General features: G+C 35.1%; 1 protein-coding gene across 4 annotated transcripts in view; it reads left to right on the plus strand.

Moving 5' to 3' along the window:
• Positions 1 to 24876, plus strand: part of ITGBL1 (integrin subunit beta like 1) — a 268182-nt gene that overhangs the window by 94932 nt on the left and 148374 nt on the right. For 3 of the 4 annotated variants that reach the window (NM_001271754.2, NM_004791.3, NM_001271756.2), the window contains one exon: positions 20093 to 20239. The exons of the other annotated variant lie outside the window; for it this stretch is intronic. In NM_001271754.2, the coding sequence (NP_001258683.1) occupies positions 20200 to 20239 (40 nt within the window). In that variant the 5' untranslated portion in view covers positions 20093 to 20199. The remainder of the gene's footprint in view (positions 1 to 20092; positions 20240 to 24876) is intronic. 4 annotated transcript variants of the gene reach the window in all.

The raw sequence follows: 24876 nt of genomic DNA on the forward strand, positions 1-24876 counted from the left end.
TATAATTACATAGAACAAATAAGATCTAGTATTTGACAGCTCAACAGGATGGCTACAGTCAAAAATAATTTATTGTACATTTTTAAATAACTAAAATATTGGATTGTTTTTTAATACGGAGAAAGGATAAATGTTTGACGTGATAGATCTGCATTTACCCGGATATGACTATTATGCGTTGTATGCCTGTATCAAAATATCTCAGGCACCCTATAAATACATACACCTATTATGCACCCACAACAATGAAAAAGAAAAATTGCTTTCTTACATTAAATATGTGTATATATCTCTGTGTGTGTGTATATATATATATGTGTATATATATACACACATGTATATACACATACACACACACACAAAAAGAGATAAAGCAAACTCTAAAAAGGTTTATTAACCATAGTTACCATTTTAGATGTTTAAAAGTCTTGTTACCACCAAGTGCTTAAAACAAGACAAAGTGTTTCACAGATAAACATAAAACTTTTAAGAATAAGTTTAGTTCCTTCTTAAATTCTGTTAGAATGTAGAAAAGAAGGTCAATTTCCAAAGTTTATTCTTCAAGGCTGCAAAACATTGACTATATCCCCAGATAAATATGACAATACAAAACACTATACCAAACTCACTGGATTGCTAAGCCTTTGAGTAATGTATTAGCAGATAGAAATAACAGCATGTTTAAGGATACTATGCTATTACTAATGGTGTCAGTACAAAAGAGGGAAGGCTGGCTTAATCTTAGTATCTTTTAATATCATTTTCCATATTGAGAGATCGATCTACTTTAAAAATCCTGTGATCATTTCTACAGAGATTGAAAAGCTATTTAACAAAATTTATCTTAATCTATGCCTTAAATGTATGACCACAATTTAAAATGGGTGAATATTTTCTATATATGAAAAGAATGCATATCATAGTCTTCCCCAAAAAGCAGCATTAAGTTTAGTGCATTTAAGTGAAGAATAAGAAACATATATCCATGTCTGTTATCATTTTAAACATTGTTTTATACATAGAAGGGAAAATAACAAAATAAGTAAAAAATTGTCTTCACTATTTAACTATCATTAACTTGATAAAGATCTTATTATATAGCTAAAGCAAAAGAAAACAAAATATCTGAAACAAAAGGATTATTAGAATTAATAAGAGAATATAGTAGACAATTTATTGAAATTGACAAACTGTTTCTATATTATAAATTATTGTATATCTGTGAATTTACCTTACATTAATCTTTATGTTTAATGTGATTAACTACTCTCTCCAAGAAATTCCAAGATTTATTTTTGGAATTAAATAAGCTGAGTTGAAAAATAAAGGCTTAAAATGAAGAATACAAAAGGGACATCAGACCTACCAATTATTTTTTAAAAATACATTATTACACTTGAACATTTAAAAGTCTGGCAGTCACACATGAATTCACGCATAAATTGAGATCAGCAGATATCAACATAAGATTATACAGAGTTGAGAAAAAGATAAATATTCAGGAATGTAGTATTTAACAAAGGTGACTTTAAATAAATGAGAAAGAAATAAGTTGTTAATTAATGGTCCTTCAAAAACCTGTCTAGCCATATGGAAAAAATAAATATGGACAGTAACCATATTTTATGGACATACGATAACCATATTTTATGTCCATATTTATGGACAGTAACCATATTATCTTACAGTATAAAATTTCCAGATTTATGCATAAAATCAAACTTTCAAGAAGAAAGCATAAGAGAATTTGATCATATGATTTAGGAGTGTGAGAAACTTTATATATGTCACAAAACTTAGAATTCATAAATTAAATAATTTTCAAGCAATAAATATTAAAATTTTATGGAAAAATGCCATTTATTAAAAGTCAAAAGATCAAAAATAAACTGAAAAATGGCTGCAACATGATGGAAGTAAAAGGCTGAAAACAACATACAGAATTGAATGCCCAGAAAAATAATGAAAATGTTCAAGACTCAGTAGAAAATAAGCCAAATATATGAGGAGAACTTCTAAGAAAATTTTTTAAAAGATTTTTTATATAACAAAAACGATTTATAAACCAATGAGAAGATTTTGAATCTTATTCACAGTTGACACATGTCAGTGAAAATATCCAGTATAATTTTCAGTGCCAAGATTGACACAAGTTATTTGGTAATTTTTTTTTTGTTATGTGTTGGTAAGTGTATTCTTACACATTGTCGGTGAAAATAAATTTAATATAACTTTGAAAACAAATCTGGCTATATCTATTAACAATGTATTGATATACATAGCTTTCATCCGTAAATTCAACATATAATAATTGATCTCAGAGGTCTAGTCACACTTCTGCACAAAGATGCTCCTGTAAGGAAGAATATTTATGATGATATAATTTGTAGTGGTAAATGGTCAAAAACTAGTTAGTTAATAAAGGACTGCTAGATGATTATGGCTATATACTATAGTCACAAATTATGCATCTATTCAAAAGAATAAGTCTTTTTCTATGAGCTGGGATATAGATATGTTTAGATATTGGGAGAAAATTCTCCATGGGCCTCTTGTGTTTGCATATTTTTGTCAACATAGGCCCTGACTAATTTTGTTCCAGACTATCTTTTCATGGCTGTTTGTTCAGAGAACAGCCTGGGAAGACAGACATGGTGCCTGCCTCTGGAGAAAAAGAGTATATTTATAGCATAATATAATAAACTACTGTCTCCTTCTGGGGCAAAGGTCAGGAATACTTACTGCCCACTGTGAAAGAGCAGGGACCCCGTATCCTGAGGGTTCCTCTCCTGGAACACAACCAACTGCATGTTCAAACACCACTTGGTTCTCATTGTGTTGCCTTTTGGGAAGTAAAACTTGATAACTATCTCAAATTGATATTCCAGTTACTGATCTTGCCATTATAAAGCCCCTTGACGCTGATTCAAGAGTCTCATGTCTTCTGCCAGAATCCGTGAAACTGTGGCAGGCTAATTTGTTAGTTTGAAAGTAAGGTGAAATCTAATCCCAGTCCCCTTTCACAGTTCTCAACAAAAGTTCTCCAAGATATATTGTAGGTGGAAAAATAAACCAAGGCTCAGAGCAGTATGTATGGTAGAGTAATAAATTTAAGAAAACTGATAAGTGTGTGCTTGTGGAAGATTAAACTTCACATTCTTTATCTTGAATGTGCAAAGGAAATATTTCTTTTAATTCCTTTCTATTTTCTCTGATGTTTCTCATGAGCTTTCTTCCTATTTTTCAACTGCTCACTGAATGCCAGGAAAAAAAATAGAACAAAGCTTAATAAAACATAACTTAGTTCAAGCCTACTTAAAACTTAGTGTGATTCAGTCATGTGAAGAATATCTTTAGGTTTAATTAACATTCTTCAGAATACATGTTCCAGTCTTGTTCTTTTATTTGCTTCATCGCTTCTTGGATGCACTGGGGTGTATGGATTTTGCTGACCCTCTGTCATCATGTAGGCATGATGGAGAGGGGTGAGGATACAGAGGAGGATGGGGAGGGTAGGAGAAAGAAGAGAAGTTGTCAAAAGACAAAGAAGCAACAAATGAGGTAAGGATTTAACAGGCAATTGAACTAAGCAGTGAAAAGCATATTAGTTTATCTTAGAGAAATGTCAGTAGGATGGTGGGAATAAAATCTGATTGTAAATAAAAGGTGAGTCTTGGAATGAAACCTACCTTCGCCTAATGTAGTACTGATTATATTTTGTAAAGAACAGGAGACACTTGCTCAGTTGTATGGTTTAAGGGGAGGTATCGAAAATGAAGCCAAGGTTGAAATAGAGAAGAGAGAGGAATTCGGGACCCAAAGAACCAGAAGGCAAAGAAGTCAAGGCTCCTTGAAAGGAATGGACCTAGACATGGCCTTGGGGGCTGGAGAAAAGGGAGCAAGATGGATCAGGAAGGAAGTTCAGGAAGGGAGGGGATTTCTGTCTTGCTCCTCAGCTCCAGGGTACCTGAGCTGGGTAAGTGACTTGAGAAATTGGCTAAAAATTTGGAGGAATCATGAAAAGACATTCACCAAGAATTTCCTTTTCTAGAAGTGAGGATGATTATGTTTTCTGTTTTTCATGCCATTTTGCAAGTCAAAGTGATTTTTAACTCAGAAGATTAACATATGCTTATGTTATTTTATGCATTATAAACTTGGTAAAGCTATTTTCCAAAGTAAATATTGGTATGCCAATGCAAAAGGAAGACAAGATGTATTATCTAGAATGATTAAAAATGAGATAGTTTGTAAATGTAAAACTAAGTGAAGATTATCTATCATGACAGATTTTCAGAATGTGGGGTGATATAGCCCATGGGTCAAGAGCAGGGAGGGCAGCCTTGATGGGGGTGGTGAGTTTTGAACTGATCATATTTTCATGGGAAGATATTCCTTTTTGTCGAAGTGATTTCCACCACTGTTTTCATGCTCTTTCCTCAATCTCCAAGCTCCTTGGTTTTAAATGGCTTCAAAACAGCTGTGCATACTGGCCACTCTAGCAACCTTTCCTTAACTGCATACCTGAGTACAGTTTGCAGTCCCTTTACCAAAATACATGATTTCTATGAGAGTTCTACTTGCTGAATGAACTGTGTCCAGTGTTTAGTCCTCAAGAAAGGAGATGGGGCATCAGAACAGAGAGAGAGTATCATATCCTGCAAAATATTGCTTGGCTTATGGATTTATTCTCAATTTAATTTTTCTGTCTACTGATCTAGGTGTTTTTTTTTAAATAGAATCAAAAGTGACAATTCATTTGAAATATTTCTCCCTTGTCCATGAATTGCTTTGTAAATCTTGTGAGCTACTTCACGAGTTATGAAGTTTTTAAGAATAAATAGCAATGAACTCACTTTAGTCTCCATGCCAAATGCAGATGTTTTTGTGATAGCTGATCTTGTTTTGTAGGAAAACTCTTGCCTTCAAGTCCTTCTATTGGCTTTCAAGAGAATAATTTCCTTGTTTTAAGTCAGATCAAGCAAACTGTCAATAATGTTTATTAACTACCCACTTTACAACAGCTTACAGTGGAGGTTCCCTAGGGAGTTAGAGTTAATAGAAAAGTCATTGCAATTAGAGGATTTACAATAAAGTTAACTCAAAATATAAATGTTTGTTAATTTTGAACTGAGTGAGAAGGAAAGAAAAATAAATTATTGCAATCTTCTCCTTTTCAGTTGGGTGAGGAGAAGATAACATTCCAAAGAATTGAGTGATCATAACATTTGTAGATCATAAGGTGATTATTGGTAATCTTTGTGTTAGCCATTTCACAAATTTATTTGAAGGAGCAGTAAAAATGTTCTCTCTGTCTATGAAACATCTTCTCCTCAGGCATAATTTGTCAGCTTTGTGTGGGGGATTCTTTACACAGCCCACTGGAATTCAGTGATGCAATGTTGTTAGTAGGAGAGGACTGACATTTTTTTCAGACAAAGAAAGTGGTCTTGTTTTTTAGACAACAAACTTTGGGGAATGGAGGAATCCCAAGTAGAATTAGAAAGAGAAGTCATGGAGAGACATTTGGCCTGTTACTTAGTGATTGCCTCAGCTGTGTGTTTCATTATATGGGAGATTTCTATTGCTTTTCTTTCCTACTGCCTTTAGACACATGTTAGCAAGGAGAAATATATACTTTTGTTAAGAACTTTTTGCCTTCTGATGTAATTTTCAGGATGGCCCTGGGTATGTCAGGTACAATATTCAGATTTAATTATTTCTCCCAAGATTCATGTAAATTTCAACCCTCATTTATGAGGTCACCTCTTAAGCATATATATTAAAATGCATTAATATGTCAATGTGTGGCAGTTACTTTTTGAAACTGCAAACTCAGAAACGCAAAATGATATACCTTCATTTTCCTACAATTTTTGAAGACTGTACCTTGAGTTTCTGCCTTGGTTTGCAAGGGTTACTATAACAGAGTGCCACAAACGGGATGGTTTTGAATTACAGAAATTTTTTGTCACAATGTTTTGGAGACCAGAAGGCTGAGATCAAGGTGTTGGCAGACTTGGTTCCTCCTGAGGGTTATGCGAGTGGCTCTGTTCTATACTCCCTTGGGAGCTTCTGGCGGCTGATGACCCTTGGCTTGTAGACACATTGCCCCGATCCCTGCCTTCATCTTCACAAGGCATTCTCGGTGTGCCTGCCGCTGTGTCCATATTTCCCCCCTTTTTTTGAGACAGAGTTTCTCTCATTGCCCAGGCAGAAGTCCAATGGCACGATCTCGGCTCACCGCAACATCTGCCTTCCAGGTTCAAGCAATTCAACTGTCTCAACCTCCCAAGTAGCTGGGATTACAGGCATGCACCACCACACTCAGCTAATTTTGTATTTTTAGTAGAGACGGGTTTTCTCCATGTTGGTCAGGCTGGTCTCGAACTCCCAACCTCAGGTGATCCTCCTGTCTCGGCCTCCCAAAGTTCTGGGATTACAGGCATGAGCCCCCGCTGTGCCCGGCCGAGGTTTCCCCTTTTTATAAGGATAACAGTCATATCAGATTAAGGGCCCACCTAATCCAGTGTGATCTCAACTAATTCTATCTACAACCACCCTATTTCCAAATAAGGTTACATTCTGTGGTACTGGGGTCTAAGTTTTCAATATATGAATTGTAGGAGGACACAACTTAGCCCATAACAGCTCTCAGTCCACTGATGACAGAATGTTATTAAATTCCATTTAGGTTGCTCTCAATCAATGTGGATTTTCCCTGGAGTCAAGACAATAATCCTTGGGAGTAAACTGTTCACAGTTCACAGGGCTTTGCCACTGTCACCTGGTCCCTGCTTATGTCTCATTTCTCTAGCTGCTGTCTTACACGATGACATCTGTATTTGCCATGTGGTCAATGGTGGGCAGTCCTTGTGGGCCCATCTACTTGTTCTCACCATAGGTCCTCTTCAGACAGCAACCTTCCTTTGAAGCAATTATGGTTGTTCTCATGAGCCATGCTGCGTCTGTGGAACATTTGGTGGCCTATGTCAGGCATGTGTGGCCTTAACAGCCACAAGTGCCTTATTCTGTTGAAATTGTTCTGAGATGATTCAGAGAAAATTTGCAACTCTCCAGGGATATGCAGTTTGGACCTGAGGCTCTGTCTTTCCCTGTCTGTACTCCACCCCTCCTGGGGTGGGGCAGGGGACAGGGCCCTTTTGTGGAGTGCCACACAATTCATAGCTTTTCTATGCATTTCTCATACTGGCATCACATTTTTCTGAATAATAGTGTCCTTTTCATTTAAATAGTCATTAATTACATTCTCTTGGCTCTTCACAGCCCCTCAGGTTGCAAAGATTAGTATTACTCTGTCTTCCCCCAGGCAGTGACTTATGAATGTGTCAGGATACTATGAGTTGTAACATCTCTTGATTTCACTGAAATCCCAAAACAACATCATAGTTAAACAACATCTTTAATATTACTGCTTATAGAAAGACTGTTTCTGACATATGTTTTTCCTTTTTTAAATTTTTGAGTGAAATATTATCATAAAGTATAAAAAGTGACAATATTAATATTGTGTGTTCATCACCCAGCTTAAAAAATAGAATTTTTCTTATAGCTTTGCAAATCTAAGCTTACATCAATTCAAAACTTTTTTGATTACACATCAAAAGTGAAACTTACACATACATGCATATTCATTTATAATTTATATAGGCATATTTTACGTCAATATGTTGTGCACATAAAATGTACAAAATAACCATTTTTAAAGATAAAACAAAAATAAGGATATGTATTAATTCTAGTGTTTTCTTCTTGTATCCCAAATATTTTTTTTTGTACTCCCTCAACGAGGGCCCTATATTTTGGAAACCACCAGTGTGTATCAGGACCTTTGCTCTGAAGATGAAAAACACAGAAAAATTAATTTTTGCTGTTGGTTATGTTTCTATTGCTTTTCCAAAGGCAGCTGATGTCAAGGTATAATATGGATATGGGAAGGGGTGGCGTTTAGGAATCTTAAAATAATACACAGACAACGCACACAAGAAAATATATATGCATGTATTTAAGTATCTACATATATGTATGTGTATATATATGCATGTATTTAAGTGTTTTGTGTGTGTGTGTATGTTTTATATAGATAAAACATTGGTTAGCACTTTAAAGTCTTTAAATTCTTATCTGGCTCCAATTGGTTTTGAATTCATCTGTTAGTAGGTTTGTCTGTTAGTTTTGTGGACATTCTCCAGGAAAATTTCTTATCTCTGTAACCCAGATGCACTATTAGTATTTGATCAGGGATTTTTGTGTGCTATATGAGAGAAGGACTCAGACTCAGAATTTTCACTTAATGTCCTTTATTTCATTCTGCAAAAGTACTTCTTCATTTAAGCTTAGGGTTGTGATGGTCAAGACAGTTGTGTTAGGGCAACCTGCTCTCCAAACACTTTCAGTGTGGATAGTAATAGCTATGATTTGACTGATAAGCAGTGTTCTAAGTGCTTTGTGCATACTGACTTATTCCATACATTTAACAGCTCTATGGGAGAGGGGCTATCATTAGCTCCTTTTTCACAAAGGAAGACGCAGAGATAATGAGAGGTGTTATGAGTTGAACTGGATCTCCCCAAAAGATGTGTTGAAGTTCTAACACCCAGTACCTCAGGATGTGATCTTATTTGGAAATTGGGCCTTGCAGAGATAATTTATTAAGTTGAGATCATACTGGAGTAGAGTGGGTCCTTAATCTGATATGGCTGGTATCCTTATAAGAAGAAGAAAAGAAGCTGGGCACGGTGGCTCATGCCTGTAATCCCAGCACTTTGGGAGGCCGAGGCAGGCGGATCCCCTGAGGTCGGGAGTTCGAGACCAGCCTGACCAACATGGAGAAACCCTGTCACTACTAAAAATACAAAATAGCCAGGGGTGGTGGCACATGCCTGTAATCCCAGCTACTCGGGAGGCTGAGGCAGAATTGCTTGAACTCCAGAGGCGGAGGTTGTGGTGAGCCGAGATTGTGCCATTGCACTCCAGCCTGGGCAACAAGAGGGAAATTCCGTCTCAAAAAAAAAAGTAGAAGAAGAAAAGAGACACAGAGACATGACTGGAGAAGGCCATGTAATTGGAGTGATTGGAGAGGCAAAGATCTGAGTGATGCAACTGTGAGCTGAGAAACTCCAAGAAATGTAGGTCACTGCCAGAAGCCAAAATAAGGCAATGAAGGATTCTACTCAGAGTCTCAAGAGACCCTGGTCCTGTTCGCACCTTGGTTTTGGACTTCGAGTCTCCAGAAATATGAGACAAAACATTTTTGTTGTCTGGAGTTACTCAATTTGTGGGACTTTGTTATGGCAGTTCTTAGGAAACTAATATGATGGATTAAATAGTTGCCTAAAGTTACATAGTGAGCAAGTCATACAAGCAGAATTTGAGTCAAGCAGTCTGTCATTGGAGCCTGCACTCCACAGCCCTGCCTTATCCCTCCTCAGGGGACAGACAGAGCGGTGCCATGCTGATGCACAGCTCCTGCTGGGGCATGAGGAATAAGGCTGTGGGCAGAGATTTTTCCTTAGGCAACCAGTGGAACTTAGGATGAAGAACGCAGCACTGTCAGATGAAGAATATTATTAATGTTTATCAAAGATGCACATTCAAGATTTCTGAAAAACATTTTCAACACTGGAAGGCATGTTAAATATCATCTCATTACACAGTGCTTTTACTTTGAGTCGCCATTTAAAAGATAAAGTTTATAGCCTTGCTGATCTCCTTGGCATATGCTTACATACATATGTGAATACATAGACACACATATATGCACATATAAATGTGCATGTCGTTCTTCATTTAACCAGATTCCTTGTGCCCCTGTATTAAAAATGGTCAAGTTTCTATTTCAAACCATGCAATAATTATAATATCAGATAAAGAATTCTTTCACAATCTTTTCTTAGAATTCTAGATGTGACTTAGTTTCCTTCCTCTACAGTGAGGGAGGAAATAAGAGTGATTTGTGAAGATGCATATTTTTTTTCAGTAAAACAGGGGAGGTTTCACCTATCTCGGGTCTCCTATTCTGGATACAACATTTCAAGAGTCTTGGATTCCTGTTTGATTATCAAGTTCACTTCCACTGACCAATAAATATTGGTAGACGTTAAGTTCTCAGGCTTGAGAGGCTTCTGTCATTTGGTGTGTCCGATGCTAACAGACACTCTTAAATAAAATGCCTCATGAGGGGCCGGGCACGGTGGCTCATGCCTGTAATCCCAGCACTTTGGGAGGCCGAGGTGGGCGGATCATGAGGTCAGGAGATTGAGACCATCCTGGCTAAAATGGTGAAACGATGTTTCTACTAAAAATACAAAAATTAGCCAGGCATGGTGATGCACTCCTGTAATCCCAGCTACTTGTGAGACTAAGGCAGGAGAATTGCTTGAATTCGGGAGGCGGAGGTTGCAGTGAGCCGAGATCGCGCCACTCCAGCCTGGGAGACAGAGCAAAACTCCGTCTCAAAAAAAAAAAAAAAAAAAAAAAAAAAAAAAAAGCCTAACGAGAAGGTAAAAGAGCAAGGAGGAAACTAAAGCAAGGATTACTTTTATTGCAAAAGAGGTGGAGGAATCTTTAAAGATTTCTGATACAGCAGAAAATCAGATATTGCATGTTCTCACTTACAAGAGAATGAGCTAAACAATGAGTACACAGGGACATAAAGATAGACATAAGATACTGAGGACTCCAGAAACGGGGAGGGAGGGAGAAGGTGGAGGTTGGAAGGTTACCTTTTGGATATAATGTTCATTATTTGGATGATGGGTACACTAGAAGCTCAGTCCCCACCATTAGGCAATATACCCATGTAACAAACATGCACTGCTACCCCCTGAATCTAAATTTTTTAAAAAAGATTTCTGACAAATAGAGTCTTAGAACTGAAAGCTAGAAGGTGACAAAGAGAACGGAGAATGTCTGTCATCAAATCTAGTGGTCTTCCCTTTCTCTCGTTCCCTTCTCAGGACACCTGAGATATGCCATACTCTCTTTTATTATCATGGATTCTCTGGTAGGGAAAGGGTCACCAAGTTTTTGGGATTTACGTGGATGAAACGGCAGAGGAAGATAATTCCGATACCCTCTTAAAGGGACATGCCTTGCCTCCCTCAAGAAATTCTGATCTCATATACATTTTTAATTTACCAGACAAAAATATTGGGACCAGAAAAATTAAAAGATTAACCATCTGGCTGAAGGCCACAGAGCTAGCAGTGACATAATCTATACTAACACCTAGAGGTTTCCTGAATCCCAAACTAGTGCTTGTGTATTTGTATTTGTGTGTGTATGTGTGTGTGTGTGTGTTTATATAACTTTCATGAATTTGATACATGAATATATGTTTGACTTTATAAAATTTTCTAAGTTCAGCCAAAATACTGTGTTTTGCTTTACTATAATTTCAATTTCATCCTTTAGTCACAGGTTATTAGAAAACCCCCTAATTTTAGTAGCATTAATGCAAACACACCTTAACAATAAACATATCATGATTATCTGCAATACTTTAATGGATACTCTGAATGACACATAGAATTTTAACTGGTCATGGTTGCTTTTAGTAGCAAACAAGATCTGATCACAATTAATTGATGTCTGTCACCCCCTTGTTTTAATAGATTGAGTGCCCAATTTGAAAATACTACTTTGTTGTGAGAAAAAGAAAATAATTGAGGATATAGTATGGGATTTTGCAGATGAAGGGAATCTTGGGGCTATTCAATCCAATCTCTTAATTTTGCATGTGAATACAGTGAAGTAGGTCAAGAAAAATTTCATGACTAGATTTCTGAATTATTTCATGTAGTTTTAGCATTATTCAATTTTAAATCGTGAAGTTCAATAATTTACTGTTATAGTTCTTTCACCAAGGATTGTGAATAATCCAATTCTAAGCATGTGTGTTTCAAAGGAAGCAGTAAAAATAAAACCAGTGCTATCCAACAACCAATCCATAGCTTTTACTAACACCACTCTTCCTACAGCAAAAGAGTCCTTTCAAGTCCATTGCTAAATTCCAGAACTAAACAGATAATGTTGGCTGTCATGGGAAAAACATAGCTTTTGAGCTTACCAGCTATATGACCTTGAGCCAAACCAAACTACTTAAACTCTGCTCAGTCTTTTCACTTGTAGAATGGAAAAACAAAGCCCATCTCACTGGCTCATTATGAAAATCAGACTAACTTGCATAAAGTACTTATCATAGTACTGGAAGCCAATAATTATTAGATTCCCTTTCTTCTCTTCTTTTTTATTTTCCTTCAAGATTACATGGCTAGTTAGTGTCCAGGCAGGACAAGAGTGGAGACCTTTTAATTTCGAGGCAGTGGAACCCTCTATATTCTTCCGTTGTCCACATGAAAATGCTCTCAGGAATGAAAAGCAGAAATACCTAAGGAACATTTTTTTTCTCAGCTTGAGAAGCAAGCCAGGGACTGGTGCCCTGTCTTAAAAATGGTGAAGTTTCTATCTCAAATCATGAAATAATTGTACTGTCAGATAAAGAATTCTTTCACAATCTTTTCTTAGAATTCTAGATGTTACATTGTTTTTTTGTTTCTTATTACTAGAGAAGGCTTAGGAATCTATGGTGGCTCAAAAATGACTAGAGAAAAATTGAGTTTATCTGTTATAAACTGAGCATATTTGAATACACTGGAAAATAGGACACAAAACAGGTTTTTGGAATTTACATATTTGAACAAAGCAAATGAATTTTAGCTGGCAGAGTCAACTAAGTGTTCAAATTAAAATACCCCTATTTCAAGGTTATCATGAGGCTGTAGCAGTGGTACACCTAGCTTATCAGATGCACAGAGAGAATAAATTTTTAATACCTATCCTTCTCTATGTGATAAAATTGTTGCCAGTAATAATCATGAAGAGATAATTAACAATCAGATTTTTAAATTTGTTTTTTAGTCTTAAAACAAGTAACAGTGTATGTAGAATAATACATTTACTTTTAAAAGATATTGCAAAATTAAGTTAAATAATTTATATATGAACAAAAATTTGCACTTACCTCAAAAGTTATGCATTACATCCCTCTGTATGCTGTTTTAAAATGTAAAACAAGTAAACATTCCAAGTGGTTAAGAAGACAAATACAAGTAACTCAAATTATCCTTTTTTTGTATTTACAATCTCTGAGCTATAATTGTTTATTTCCAATATACATGTAAATGCAGGGCTGTGTAGCATCACAGGTTTTGGGGATGGGAGCTATAGTTATTCTTTACCCTTGATGAACTTATTTGCAAAGTGTCTGTAAGATTTTGGTTTCCACTTAGGGATGTAGAAAGTTACAAAGTGTGATTCCCATTCTTACACTGAAGAAAAGTGGGACGAATTAAAAATCCCCATGTGTTTCTGAATTCATCCAAGATCTGAAGTCACAGGAAAAGCAACTGGCCCCAAATCTGGAGATAGATAGGCAGATGAAGGGAGAGAAATGAGCTCGGGCTTAGCTGGGTAGACATAATTAGGTGCTGAGAAGGGTGGTGGGAAAGTTGGTAGCGGCCAAGTATGCCCTCGTGAATGAGCATGAAGCCCCGGGTGCTGCAGAATTTGAGAGAGCCCAAACCCTCTTCAGATTTGTATCTATAAATCCTACTGAGCTCTCACAGAAAGGACTGGAAGATGCTTTTGAAAACAGATCCAGGAAGTGGGGAACTCAAGGAAGAGAGGAGCAGCTCCTCCAGGATGGTCATGAAACTATCCAGACATTTAGTACCTGTTTCCCCTATAAAACAAAATCTTTCACTGTCGGGGAAAGGGTAATACATCTCCTTGCTCTTAGGGCACTTGTAAGTATCCATGGCAGCTATGGGAAGGAAACAGGAACATAAATAAATGAAAGCTCAACATAGATAAATAACGAAGAAAACATATCACACAAAAACAAAGAGGTGGACTTATCATTTTCAAATTACCAAACACAAAAACAAACAGAAACTCTTACAGGCAGTTACAGAAAAAGAAACATATGCAGAGGAACAAAGATACTAATGACAGGGGACTTCTTGTCAGAAACCATGCAAGCGTGGGGAAAATGGAGAGACGTCTTTGAAAGCCTGAAAGAAATAAATGTTAGCATTGAATTCTATATCCAGCAAAAAGTATATTCCAGAAATGAAAACAATTAAGGATTTTTATGAGGCTATTCATTACAGCAGACCTACCCTAAATAAATGTAAAGGAAGTTCTTTAGACAAAAGGAATGTGATACTTGACAAACTTGAATCTACACAAAGAAATGAAGAGCAATGAAAATGGAATAAATTAAAGTGTAATAGCATTATAGTTTTATTTTTAGTTGCTCTAAAAATAACTGACTGTCTAAAACAAAATTAATGGCAGTAGATTGTGTGTCTATAGGAAATGTGTGTGTGTTTATGCAAAAATAAAATGGCACAAAGAATGGGAGGAAAGAGCTGGGAATTTAATGTTTTAACTCTTACAGTTTTAACTCTTTCCTAGAATTACATATAAAGTGGTACAATATTATTTGAATGTAAACTCTGGTTGGTTAAAGATATATAATGTATACACTAGGACAACCACTAAAAATCAAAGTATACAAATAGCAGAGGAAATAGAATAAAAAATAATGCTCAATAAACAAAACAGAAAGCAGAAAAAAGAGGCAAAAACAAGAACTGATAAAGCTAATAAAAATTGCTTAGAAAGTTGGTAGATTTATATCCAGCAATGTAAAAAATCATGTTAAATGTGATCTCTTTAAACTCACCAGTTAAAAGATAGAGATTGTCAGATTGTATAAAAACTGAGACACGACTAATCTATAAGAAATGACTTTAAGACATTGACAGGTTAAATATAAATGAATGGGAAAGGTATTCTATGCAAACACCCGTCAAATGAATACTGGATCAACTATACTGATGATAGACAAAGTAGGCTTTAGGACAAGAAATAATATCAAGGATAAAGAGAGATATTACACAATGAAAAAGTAATTATATCCTAAGTTTTAAAATGCTAAGTATATATACACATAAAGCATTTCAAAATACATAAATTTAAAGAATGACAGACTGAAAGGGGAAAAAATCCACAATTGTAGTCAATGTCAATACTCCTTTCTCATAGTCGACAGAACAAGTAGATAGAAAATTAGTGAGGATATAGCAAACCTGAACAAAACTATATTACCAGCTTGACCAAATTGACATTTATAGAACAGCAGAAGATACATTATTTTAAAATGCACAAGGAAAATTGAACAAGATAGATCATCTTCTGGGTCATAATAGAAGCCTTCAGAAATTTAAAAGAAACTGTATTATCATATAATAATGTGATTAAACTAGAAATTACAGAAATAGATCTGAAAAAAATTTGAACAACACACTTCTACATAACCCATAGGTTAATAGGAAATCTCAAAGGATATTAAAAATATTTTAATGAATGAAAATAAAATAATTTATAAATAAAAATATTTAACTGAATGAAAATAAAATATAACATATCAAAAATTTGTGGATTGCAGCTAACATAGTACTTAGAGAAAAATTTACAGAATTAAATGTTTATATTAGAACAGAAGAAGTGTTTAAAATTAATTTATACTTCTACCCTAGAAAATAGAAAAAAAAGACCTAATTAAATCCAAAAACAGGAGAAGGAAGAAAATAATAAAGATTAGAGAAAAAAATAGTGAAATTGAAAAGAGAAAAACAATAAAGAAAATCAATAAAACCAAAAGCTGATTATTTGAAAATAACAATAAAATTGATTTATTTTTAAGCAGACTGATCAAGAAACATACAGGACATACAAATATTACCAGCATCAGCATGAAATAACATACATAATATCCAACACTATGCATGTTAAAAAGATAGTAAGCTTATGATATAAGCAAGTCTATGCCTGTTAAGTTCAGGAATTTAAATGAAATGGGCCAAGTCCTTGAAAGACACAATCTGCCAAAAATCAATTAAAAAGAAATAGATGACTTGAATAGCCAATATTGGTCAAGCAAAGTGAATCATAGTTAAACATTTGTAAAAATGAATATTCTAGGCTCCAATGATTTTACTAGCAAATTCTACCAAACCCTTAAGGATAAAATAATGCTGATTCTATACTACCTCTTCCAAAAACTAGGAGATTAGAGAATACATTTCAAATCATTTCACTAGGGCAAAATTTTCCTTATCCTAAAAGTAGACAAAGACCTTACAACAAACAAAACTGCATGCCAGTATGATTTATAAACATAGAACACCAAATCTTTAATAGAATATTAGCAAATGGAATCCAATATATAAAGAAATATATAAAAATATAATACTTATTACCAACCAAATGAGGTATATCTCAAGATGCAAGGCTGGTACAACATTAAAAAATCAACCAATGTATTTCACTGTAGTCACAGACTAAATATTGTTAAGATGGCAATTCTCTCTACTTTTATCTATAGATTCAATGCAATCCCTATCAAAATCTGTGCAAGCTTTTTTGCTGATGTCAACATACTGATTCTAGACTTTATATAGAAAATCAAAGGAACTACAAGAGCTGAAATAATTTTTTAAAAAGAACAAAGTTGGAGTTCTCAGAATACTTGATTTCCATACTTACTATAAATTAGGGTAATCAAGACTGTGGTTGTAGCAGAAGAATAAGCCTAGAGTTAGGCAAAGGTTTTTCAAGTAGATACCACAAAAACCACTATTAAAGAAAAAACTTGATAAATTGGATTTAATTAAGATCAAAACCTTTTACTCTTCAAAAGATACTGTTAATAGAACAAAAGGCAAGTCACAAATTGGGAGAGAATATTTGCAAATTACATTTGTGACAATGAACTTCTATCCAGGAGATACGTACATATATATGTATATACAACAATTTATATACATATATATCCGTACATATATGTATATATAACAATATATAACAATTTATGTACATATATATGTATCCTGGATATGCATGTATATATGTGTATATGTTGATATATATATATGTTTTTATATATACATATATATGACAATGAACTTGTATCCAGGATAAACATACATATACATGTATGTATAAATTTTAAAACATATATATAGAAACACAGGTATATATGTATGTGTATATGTACATATATGTATATGTAATTATATATGTTATATAGTCATATATAAAAAATGACTCTGCAATTTCAATACAAAAATGGGCAAAAGAAGATAGATGTCCCTAAAACTTAAAGTATAATAATAATAAAATTTAAAAAAAGAAGATAGATGTATTGCAAATAAGCATATGAAAGGATATGCAGTATCATCAGAGCAGAGTTACACTGCCACAAGCCAAGAAATGCCCAAGATTACCTGCAACCACCAGCAACTGAGAGAGAGGCATGGAACAGTTTCTCCCTCAGGTCCTCCAGAACTAACCAACCCGATTTCAGGTTCCAGTCTTCATCACTGTGAGAGAATAAATTTCTGTTTTTTTAAGCCACCAAGTTTGTGGTGCTTTGTTATGGAAGATTCAGGAAACTAACACATAACAAATAAATTATTTTGAAAAATGAGGTGTTTTTTGAAGCCATGTTATTGACACTGTAATGGAGATTACCTTGCCACAATAATATAGCAACCTAATCCCCCGAGGTCTGCTAAAGCTCTTACTAACCTTAGAAAAAATTGTAAACAATAGTCTGAATACTATTTTGTAAATATATATTTATCTTTAAACAAGGTTACACAGGCTATTTGATAATTCTTGACAGTCAGAAATCAATTCCTATTCAATGAGTTTTCCTAAATGGAAGAAAATGAATCATGGAACCCTTACTGGGCATAAAGCTTAGAAAGAATGTAAAGGCAGATGGCCCTGTCTGACATTAGCTGTCATCTTTGCCTCCAAACAGATGCTAAGGAAGAAGCTGAAAACACATTACAGTGTCTGACACAGTGTTAGTCTAAGCATGTGCCTAAGATGCTAATACAGGTTATGAGAAAAGGGGCCTCGTAGCCAAAGTTTTGCAAATTCTAAGCTAAAAAAATTAAAAATATTTTTCATGATAGGATATATGAGGCTCATTAGTGTGCTGATATATATCGTGACACATTAGAACAGAAGACAGCAGACTCTTTTCCATGTTTATTTTACCCTAGAATCTTCTGTGAAGAGAGTTTCATGAAACTGAGCCTCCATGAACCCACTTCAGGGGATAAGCAACTTAGAATATTGCTTCTATTGATGCGTCATTGGGTCAATTTGGAAGGGATGGATCTCTCCCTATCCTGTATACATTTTGTTTATTTTCCCCCTTTCTTTCTATTTTTAACCATCTCACCTTTAAAAAGATGTTCCTTTGACCCACAAATTATTTCCCATCTCTACTGTGTATACTTTAGGATCTAAGATGTCCTATTTAATATAAAATTTAAAAAATCACATTGAGTAGTCTTTTATTCCTGATTCACCAAATTACTGCTACCATAATGCTTTATCTTCTAAATCATTTCTATTTTCTTTACTGTTTATTGGTGTGGAACCATAAGAAACAGCTGATATTCAACTTATGAAAGTGGCAATTCCATATGGTTCAACCAAATACATTAATGTTATTAAAGAGTCAACACAGTTTCCAAGATAGTTGATTTATCAAAGAGCCTTAACCACTGCAAGAATTTGGCTTAATGCTTTTATAAATAGGCTAGGTGGTTGACAGGTGAGATCACTTATGCTTAAAAATGATACCAAGTTGGGCAAGACTGACAATATTTTGTAGGGCCAGGCAGGAATGCAAAATGATGCAGTCAATTTGAGGGAGTAATGTGTGCTGAATAGAATGAATTCCTAATAAAATACTTGCAAGGTTTTGGTTATAAAATAGAATAATTAATTTTATAAATGCAACAGAAATAGGAACATTTACATGGACTGGTCCACATAAAGAGCAGTTTTAAAGTCACAGCCAATCACAGATTCAGGCTCTGCCAAACATGCCCAAATGGGCAGCCTCCAAGCCATTCATACTGACCAACCATCTGGACCTTATCCCTTGGATTTCAGCTACCATGTTGAATCAGATCAATGACTTCATGTGGCCTATGAATTTTAGGCATTTAGACATAGTAGTATTGTCTTGAGTAATATATGTACACTCTTCCTGTAACCCATTCAAAATCTGCTCAACTTTCAAGGGCCAGTTAACAGTCAAGGAAGTCCAGAAAGTCTCTGCTGTTACGTCTATAGGTCATAGACTTTATCGCTCAGCTTAACTCAAGGTGACAATCACTTCTGGCTGACAATCACATCAGCTTCTTTGTATATTAGCCTTGACTTTGAAGTTTGTACATTCTTTGAGGACAAGGACCAAGTACTGCACATGTTTTGCACTTCTGTCAGACTAATGTGCAATCAATAAAAACATTAGTAGGCTTCATCAAGCAGGACTTAATAACATTACTGATCACAACAATGAAAACAACATGCATTAAAGCAAAATGACTATTGAGAACATTAAAGATTGAGAAATTTATGTGGAGGCAGATGAATATGAAACAAAATATATACGTATTTTATGTCCATATTACTGAAGTTGGTATTTAATATATCCATAAATTTCATTACATGCTTAATTCGAGTTAACAGTAAGGCCAGTGTTTAGTTTAGTAGAGTTTCATGTAAGAGTCTTTATTCATGGTTTGTGGTTTAATGTGTTATGTAAAATACAGTAAACTAGAAGTATTTTTTCGTTGGACTTTTGTCTCTTAAATACTGAGATGCTGGATAGAATGGTTTTTCAGTGCTGAATTTTCTGACCCTGTGATTTATTAGGCTTTTTAATGTATTATCCTAATGTCTTTATAAATTAATGTTTTTATAATTTATCGGTTGACTATTGAAATAAAATTTTCATATTCCATTGCATTTTATATAATAGCATTACCCCTCAGCCACTGCGATATACATGAGTTTCAATTTATTATAGCTCAGTCCCAAATCAATGTCACTGTTAAGAGTATGTGTTACAGTAGTGGTTATCTTTGGAAAACAATTTGAGTCTGACTAGATGTTGTTCAATCCCCAGGCCATGGTAAGTGTGACTGTGGCAAGTGCAAGTGTGACCAGGGATGGTATGGGGATGCTTGCCAGTACCCAACTAACTGTGACTTGACAAAGAAGAAAAGTAACCAAATGTGCAAGAATTCACAAGACATCATCTGCTCTAATGCAGGTAAGAAGTATACCCTGTGAAAATTGTTAAGTGGAATAATCAAATTTTGTTTTTAATGGAAATATGTGGGCGTGGAGAAATGTTGAATCTCAGAGTGAGTCTGCTTTTGAGTATGTTTTTTAGAAGTGAAATTCAGATAAATCAATAGAAAAAAAATGCCATCTTGCTGAGACTGGCAAGTTTGATGCTTTCCAGCTGTTCCAAATGCCTCCTTCTAGCAGGATATTCACTGGAAACAACACCCCAACCACATTTTATGTAAATTGTGAGCCATGATATTGAATACCGGATTACATCTGTTAAAAAGGATTTATATAAACTGACTTAATTATTTTCTGTTACAGATCACGGGTGCTTTGAATTTTTACCTTCGCAAAATAGAACCAAATACTTTAAATTTGATAGAAGTTTCAGATATACTGGTTATAAAGCTCTTTGAAGGATACAGTCACAGAAAGATTTTTTGTTTGATCAAAATATTTTTTATTTCATAGAAGTTATTTGAAAATATTTTTTACAAAATTGTAGCAATGCTGTTAAAATTTATTAGCAAAATCATATAAAAGAGTTGCAGTTTAGGTTTCAATGGTATTTAGCGAGTGTTACCGTAATTAAATATTCTTTTTACATTTGGGCAGGTGAAGCCTCAAAATCAGATTTTCTCAACCGTGGTTGAACATCAGCATCCCAAGGAGAAAGGAATAAACTGTCAGTTCTCATGTAGTACACCAGAGGTTCTGTTTCAAGTGCTTTGGTGTGTGGCCTTGACGTTGGTGGTTTTTTTAAAGCTCTCTGGGTGATTTTAATATAGATGAGTGTGTGACCCATTGCTCTAAATGCTAAAGGTGAGGATTTGACTTCACGAATGAGTACCTTTCTTCCTGAAGCTCACATTGTTGGTAGGGCCCATCTCTAACCAGAGCTGAGAATTCCCCACAGTCTGATTGCAACAGATTGTGTGTTTTAGACTGAGCTCAGTTAAAGGTGTTTTGCTGATAGGAATCAGACCATATCCAAAGCGAGGTGTGAGTGGATCCGTCAGGGGTCATGACAAATGGTCTTAGCAGTTAGGTCCCTTTCTGTGTTCATGATGTTCTCATCATATTTCTCTAGCACTTCAGTCTTTCTTTCTTCTTAGTAGGATTTCTCTACGTCCAATTCATAACACCCACCCCTCCAAACACACACACACACACACACACACACACACACACACACACACACACTTCTCTACTTCCAATTCATAACACCCACCCCTCCATACACACACACACACGCGCACGCGCGCGCATGCCCCATAGCGTCTTTCATCTTGAAAAAATTATTCTTTTCAAACTTGTTTCAGTAACAAGACTTGAATTCTGTTTTGGGTTTGAAATCTATTTTGGGATTTATTTATTTATTGTTTGCAAATCAAATTTAGGGTTTTTTTTTAGAGAACATTATAATCAAATGTGGTAGTCTAGGATTCTAAAGATGTTTAATATTAAGGAATCTAAACATGTAATTCACCACATTAACATATCTTAAAGGAGAAAACATACAGAAGTGTTTCAGTAGATGATAAAACATATTTGATACAATGTAAACGCATTTCTAGGACATCTGTACTCTCTCATTTTTTAAGCATGGATGCAATACCTTTGTTCATAACCTGCTTTAGTCAAGGGACCCAGTAATGTCCTGTATAGCGTTTTCCTCTCCTTACAGGATTCAGACTATTGAAAATGTTATGTTTATATCTCTCTTTAGTCTTCTTTAATCTGGGTCATTTCCACAGACTTTGGCTTTAGAGCATTGAAACTTGTGAAGAAAGTTGTCCCCATTTTATTAAAAGAAAAGTGTACTTATCTTGGATTTGTCTGATGTCTCCCCCGCCATGATTAGATTCATAATACATATTCTTAGGTAAAACACTAGAGAAATGGTTTTGTGTTCTCAAAATGTTTCATCTGGAAGCACATGATGTCCATCTGCTCATATTGGTGATGTCAGTTTTGATGAGCTGGTCAAGGTGTTGGCTGGTGTCTTAACTGTGTTATTTCTGACTTACCCTCTTCACAAATGTGCATTCTATGAGGAAATACTTTAAAGCCATACATGTATCACATTCCTCACTAAAATTACCCCAGATTTAACATCCGCTGATGACAATCACCTGACACAGTATTGACAATGATGACTGGAAAATGATGATTTATGAACTGTAACATTCTCTCTGAATTGACTAGTTGGCACTCAGTATTCCACCACAAACAGGAATCCTCCTCTCTCATTTATCAGTTATTTGTTATTTCATTTACTTAGTGACTTATTATCAGTCTAGAAGCACAATTCTTATTATTTCATTGATTTGTTATTCATTTTGTACATAATTATTCTGGTGCACAGAGTTTTCCAGATTAGGTATTAAAGCCCATCAGGCTAGCTTTTGTGTTTTTGTGACATGCCTGCCTTTTGTTTTTGTTTTTTGTTTTGTTTTTGCAATTCTTTACTTGTTGGCATAATAACATATTCCAGGGTCATATTGGACCTGCTTCACTGCACCTTTGGAATCATCCACTTATCCAAACAGCCCTGATTCCTTTTAGTGAAAATGGTATTTGAATAAAAATTGTGGGCACAGGGATACTTATTTCCACTGGAGGGTATTTGCTTCTTGGCCCTTTCTGCAAATAGGCTTGTGTCAAAAAAGTAGATTGAAGCATAATACAATTTTTATTTTATCTGAGCAAACAATGATTCATGAATCAGGCAGCTCCAAATCAGAAGTGATTCAGGTGCTTCATTGAGGGAATGCAAGTGGGAGGCTTTTATAGGGTGAACAGAAAAAGAAAGCAAAGAAAAATAGTTGGTTGGCTAATGTTATATGGTTGCCTTATTTAGTCTATCCTGTTGGAAAGTCCCTAGTTATATAATTATAAGTTTGTTGGTTGCTTCTGATTGGTTAAACTTAAGTTCTGTTCTTCTTTAATGTAGACATTTATAAGAAATAACTTAAGCTAAGTTTCACTTATTTTTGCCTGTCAGGCAAGGTTAGGATCATTTATGAGGCCTAACTGGCTTAGTCTGCTCAGGGGTTCTTTAGGCCTTGTCTCCATTTTAATTTATCTTGACACTAGTAAATATATGCCTGTGCATATACACACAAATACATATACACATACTTGCACACAGATATGCATGTACACATACACATACATGCATATTTTAGAAATCATGAATTTACACCAGTGCATCTAATTCCAGTCCAACCTCACAGGATTACTTCTTGTTTTCTCCATTCCATATTTGCATGTCCCATTTTCACAGGGAGAACCCTGGCTCCCAATACCACCAACATATTTACTTATTTGCTCAATCCTATACTACATCTCTAGTTACTTCTAGAAGTGCTGCAGACACACCACTAAACCAAGCAAATGTACCAAAAGAGATTAGGATTTGCAGTCCACCCCTCTCCACTTCCCCCCACTCACTGTACCTCAATCATGCCCAAGATTGGGGTATGTAGTCGAATGACGTGTTCATAAGTCACTCAGACTTATTTTATTTTCTTCTCTTTTAGTGTGGTTATGGTACTCATTTGAAATACAATTTAGCTTATTTATTTCAGATCACTTTCAATTTTAGGTTTTATAATTCCTTCCCATCTGTATTAATATATTTTATAATGTATAGTACACTAACATGCTTCTAAAAGTCATAACTATGCAGAAAAGTATACTCAGAGAATCATCCCTCTCTTCCTCAAACCTTGCACCCTGCTTACCCTCACCTTATAGATAACCAACTTTATTGCTCTCTTCCTTCTCTGTGCATGTATTTCTTTTTGTGTAAAGATAAATAGACATATTTGTGTGTTATTATTTCTCATTTTTTTCCTGTGCAAATGGTTGTGCTTTCATTCCATGTGTTCTTTTGCACTCTGCTTTTACGACTCAACATAATCTCCTGGAATTCACTCCAAATCAGTTCATAGAAATCCTTCTCTTTATTTTTTCAAAAGCACAGGACTGGATTCTATGTATGCAATGTAATTTATTCAATCAAGCTCTTATGCTTGAGCATTTAGACAGTAGTCAGTATTTTGGATTGTAAATAATAGTGCACAGAATGATCTAGTGCACATATATTTTTATATTTTTGGAGGTGTGTATTCAAGGCAAATTACCAGAAATGCAATTGGCCAAAAGATACATTTATATTCAGTGTTACATTTAATCTTTTCTGTCTCATTTACTCTTGTAGAAATATCTAAGCCTTTCATGTTTACTTTGGCAGTCTCATTCTCACCTGTCTTTCTTTTAATACCCACTTCCACCCTCCGAGTTCAGGACCATTTCCCCCAAATTGCATTAGCCTATGAAGTCTCTCTATTAATCCTTCCCTTTCATATCACAGTGTGGTTTTCTGAAGTAGTTTGGAGCAGAAGGGGAAGAGGAGTTAAATGGATTGGGGAATGAGACTGAAGGGCAGAATGAGGCAGAGCTGGGGATCAAAGTGTTCCAGAGGCTAACTTTGTGGGAAAAGTAGAAGGGAGGTCCAGTGTGCAGAGCAGGGTGAGGCCCCGGCACCACTGTACAGGAGTGTGGGCTGGTGTACATGTCTGGTCAGTCATCCTAGAGAGAGTCAGT

This window comes from Homo sapiens, chromosome 13 (genome assembly GCF_000001405.40).
Source record: "Homo sapiens chromosome 13, GRCh38.p14 Primary Assembly".
NCBI lineage: Eukaryota > Metazoa > Chordata > Mammalia > Primates > Hominidae > Homo > Homo sapiens.